Source organism: Homo sapiens, chromosome 9 (genome assembly GCF_000001405.40).
Source record: "Homo sapiens chromosome 9, GRCh38.p14 Primary Assembly".
Lineage (NCBI taxonomy): Eukaryota > Metazoa > Chordata > Mammalia > Primates > Hominidae > Homo > Homo sapiens.
This window is the reverse complement of record NC_000009.12, coordinates 38227048-38230551: the sequence shown is the minus strand read 5'-3', so window position 1 is coordinate 38230551 and position 3504 is coordinate 38227048. Positions and strand designations below refer to the sequence as shown.

Below are 3504 nucleotides of genomic sequence, written 5' to 3'. Positions count from 1 at the left end.
TGAGGGGGCTCCTCCCAGGTAGTACCAGGGAGTCTATCCTGACACTAGACCCTTCCTTCCAGGCAGGGATAGGCAGTGTTCCTTGAGGACTCAAAATACACAGTTCACATCAAGAACCACCTTCACCGATTTTGATTGTACACCAAAGATATCATGAGTCTCCAATCAAACTCAGATATTTCTCCCCCTCCTGAGCATCTCTCCTCTCCCCTTAGTCCTGCCCTGATCTGGAGCAAGCCACTAGAATTCAAAATAATACCTGGAGAAACTAATTTGAAACCTCTAAGTCACTCAAAGAGGCACAGATGGTCTGCAAAGCAATTTTCCCAGTGACTTTGGGAGAAGAGGGAGGAGTGTGAAGGAGAGACCTGACTGTCACCATCCATGAGACAATGCAGCAGGGATTAGCAAAACCACATTGTTAACATCAGCCAGAGCTTGTTCATACTCAGCACAGATTCAGCAAACCCAATATTATTGCAATTTTGATATCCTACGATTTACTTCCTCTATTCTCCCGGTAATAATTCCCAACTTACTTGCTTTTCTTCAAATTCCCCAAATTCTTTACATCCTTTAAGGTCTATCTTAAGAGGCACCACTATCATTCATTCATTCATTCATTTATTCAACTGATGCTTTTGAAACCTGCTTTGTGCCAAGTACTGGAGCTACAACTGCCGTAGAGACAGGCTTGGCCCTGGCCCTTGGGGAGGGTTTCTCCATCAAGCAGTCTTTTTCATCTTTGACCTCTCCCTAAGCACCCCTCCCCGATGGCCCTATCACATTTGACCTTCGGTGATGATCACATAAGTCAGCGTCTAATCCTCCCCACCAGAATGCCTGCTCCTGAGAGACTGAGATGGCGCCTTTCTCTAAATGGACCAGCGTAGCACCAAACACACATTAGATCGGAATCCAGCACGGATTTTTCAAACAGATGAAGCCAATCGTTTAACCTCCGCCTCTTCATCTGTATAATGGGAAACATTATCTCAGGGTTTTCTGAGTCGAATGTTCTGAGTTGATGAATGTGAAAGCACTTTGCAAATTGTACGCCTCTAAGCCCCAGAGGGGAATAAGCCTGTATTTACCACCATGACCACGCACAGCAGTTAACCAAAAAGAAACTCCATCCAGCTCTTCTGCAGATCCAGGATTGCAGTGTGAATCTCTCTGGAATCCGAGAGACAAAGCAAGTGCTGAAGAACCCCCGCCCCAACCCTGCATCCCTCCTTGCAGTTAAAAGGCGGGTCAATTACCACTGGCTCATTTGTAATCATTACAGTTGTGAGATTTTCCTGCTGATTGCTCCAGTTAAGAAGCCCCTCATCCATGGAAGGGGCTCAGGGCTTGAGAGCTCCTTTTGTCTTCCAGTTCCATCCAGTCCCACCCACTCTGAAGCTGGGAGAAAGGGTGTCAGGAATGGGGTGCAGGTGCCAGTCTGCCCTCAGTATCTATGAAGCCTCAAACGTTTTTCCAGGCTAACTTCTGATGGAGGAGCTCGAGAGATAATCCCATTATAGAAAGGGACCCCTGGACATTTTCATCAAGTTGATGCATATCGTCCATATTTCATCATCAGCCAGGCAGGCTTTCTCACTCTTTTGACACGAAAACAGACAGGTGGGGCTGTTTTGATTTGGGCTGCCTGGTTTTTTTCCCCAGGGAAGCCACTTCCTCTGGCTTGCATGATAATTGAATTTCACGGATGGAATCTTTCACATACTTCTCAATTAGGGATGTGTACAGGCAGCAAGATTTTTCAGGTGTTGATCTATGATTCTCACTCTATTTTTTTTATCTTTAATCTTAATTTCTGCCAGCTCTAAATCCAGCTTTGCTAAATAGTATTATTCTGACTTAAATGATCTAATCTGTTTGCCGTAAACCGGGTACAGCTGAAAATCGTGTATGCAGGAGATTTCCTCATTAATCACAGCTGACAAGAAATCAGAAATCAAGCAGCAAAATAGTCTCCGAAGGCCAAGTGCGGAGAAAGTGGGAGAAGTAGCTAACCGGGTCTGCTGGCCGAGCTAGGAGGGTGGGGGTTAGTCCCAGCTCTGTTTCCGAGGCTCTGGCTAAGTCTCTGCCCTCTGTGGGCTTCAGTTTCTACTTCCCTTCCTTTAAAAAAGGAAGGAAGGAAGCAGAGATGGGGGGGTGTCAGATCAATTGAGTCCTCAGGGATCTTTTCAGCTGCAACATTCTCTAAGCCTATACATGACCCCCCAAAAATGCCACCCAAATGACATCTTGGTATTTAAACGCACAGCTGAGGCTGGGTGCGGCGGTTCACACCTGTAATCCCAGCTACTCAGGAGGCTGAGGTGGGAAGATCGCTTGAGCCCCAGAGGTTGAGGCTGCAGCTCACTGCAAAATCACACCACTGTACCCCAGCTTGGACAACAGAGCAAGACTCAGCCTGAAAAAATAAAATAATAAATGCACAGCTGTTATTGACTCTTAAGAACACTAAGAGAACCTATAGTCTCAATCACTTTATCACAGCATTTTCCGAAGTGAGGGAAGCAAGATGATCGCAGGTAGTAAAGGAACATGGAATTCAGTCACACAGCAAAGCTGTCCCTCTTTCAAGCCCCATTCTTCTCAGCAGCTCAAGGAGAAAGGGCTCCGTTGGGTGCGAGCACATCGTCCATGCCTCTCTCAAGCCGACTCATCTCCCAGGGTAACAGACAGACAGCAGCCCTGGGCACCGCAGTTCCCTTGTCAAGCAGCAGATCCAGTTAGCCGCCAATATATGCTTGGTGGTGGGGCTCTGTGTGGTTTCTTTTTGTCCATATAGGGTAAAGGGTGTTTCCTTTTAGACATACTTGTTAAAGAGCTGATTTTAAAGAATATTACGTTAACGCAGAAGCTATGTGACTATGGCAAAAATTAAAAGTAGTAAGAATGTCTGGTTTCACAGTCTCTGGAAAAATATTTAGTGCCTGGTGGAAGGCCAGGCACTATTCAGGAACCAGGAAGACAGGTGAGTGACACCCTTAGGTCCTTAACCTCCCTCCCAACCCCCCAGTCCTATTTCCTGAGTGTCCAGGCTACCCTTACACCCCCACACCACCCCCAGCCTGCATCCTAGCGCCGATCACAAAGCCAGCACGCTCACCCCCGTGGGGGCCAGGGTTTCATCACTCTGCAGTAGGTGACCAACTCTACTGGTTTGTTTGGCCTCAGGCATTCCTGGGATGAGGGACTTTCCATTTCCAGGCAATCTGGACCATCTAGTTGGTCATCCTCCCGGTGAGCCCGCCCACTCCAAAAGTCATGCCTCCCTCCAGCTTCCTCACCCTCACCTCCTGGCTGTAGCTGCAGCTGCGGCGGAACAGCCCCCTCCCCCACACCCACAACCTGGCACCCTTCCAGATTCTGGTCTCTGCTTAGCACCGCCTGTCACCGTCTTTTCTAACCCTCCCCCACTCCACTTAAGAGCTACTTCACACTTCCCCCGCCCTCCCGGAGCCCCCCCCCCCCCCCGCTCCATTCGCC

At 48.3% G+C, this 3504-nt stretch overlaps 1 annotated feature.

Moving 5' to 3' along the window:
• Nucleotides 3206–3500: a silencer, noted in NCBI's record as "tiled region #15195; HepG2 Repressive non-DNase unmatched - State 10:DNaseD". NCBI's record gives its function as "represses a minimal TATA promoter and a strong SV40 promoter by Sharpr-MPRA in HepG2 cells {active_cell/tissue: HepG2}" and the evidence as "EXISTENCE:reporter gene assay evidence [ECO:0000049][PMID:27701403]".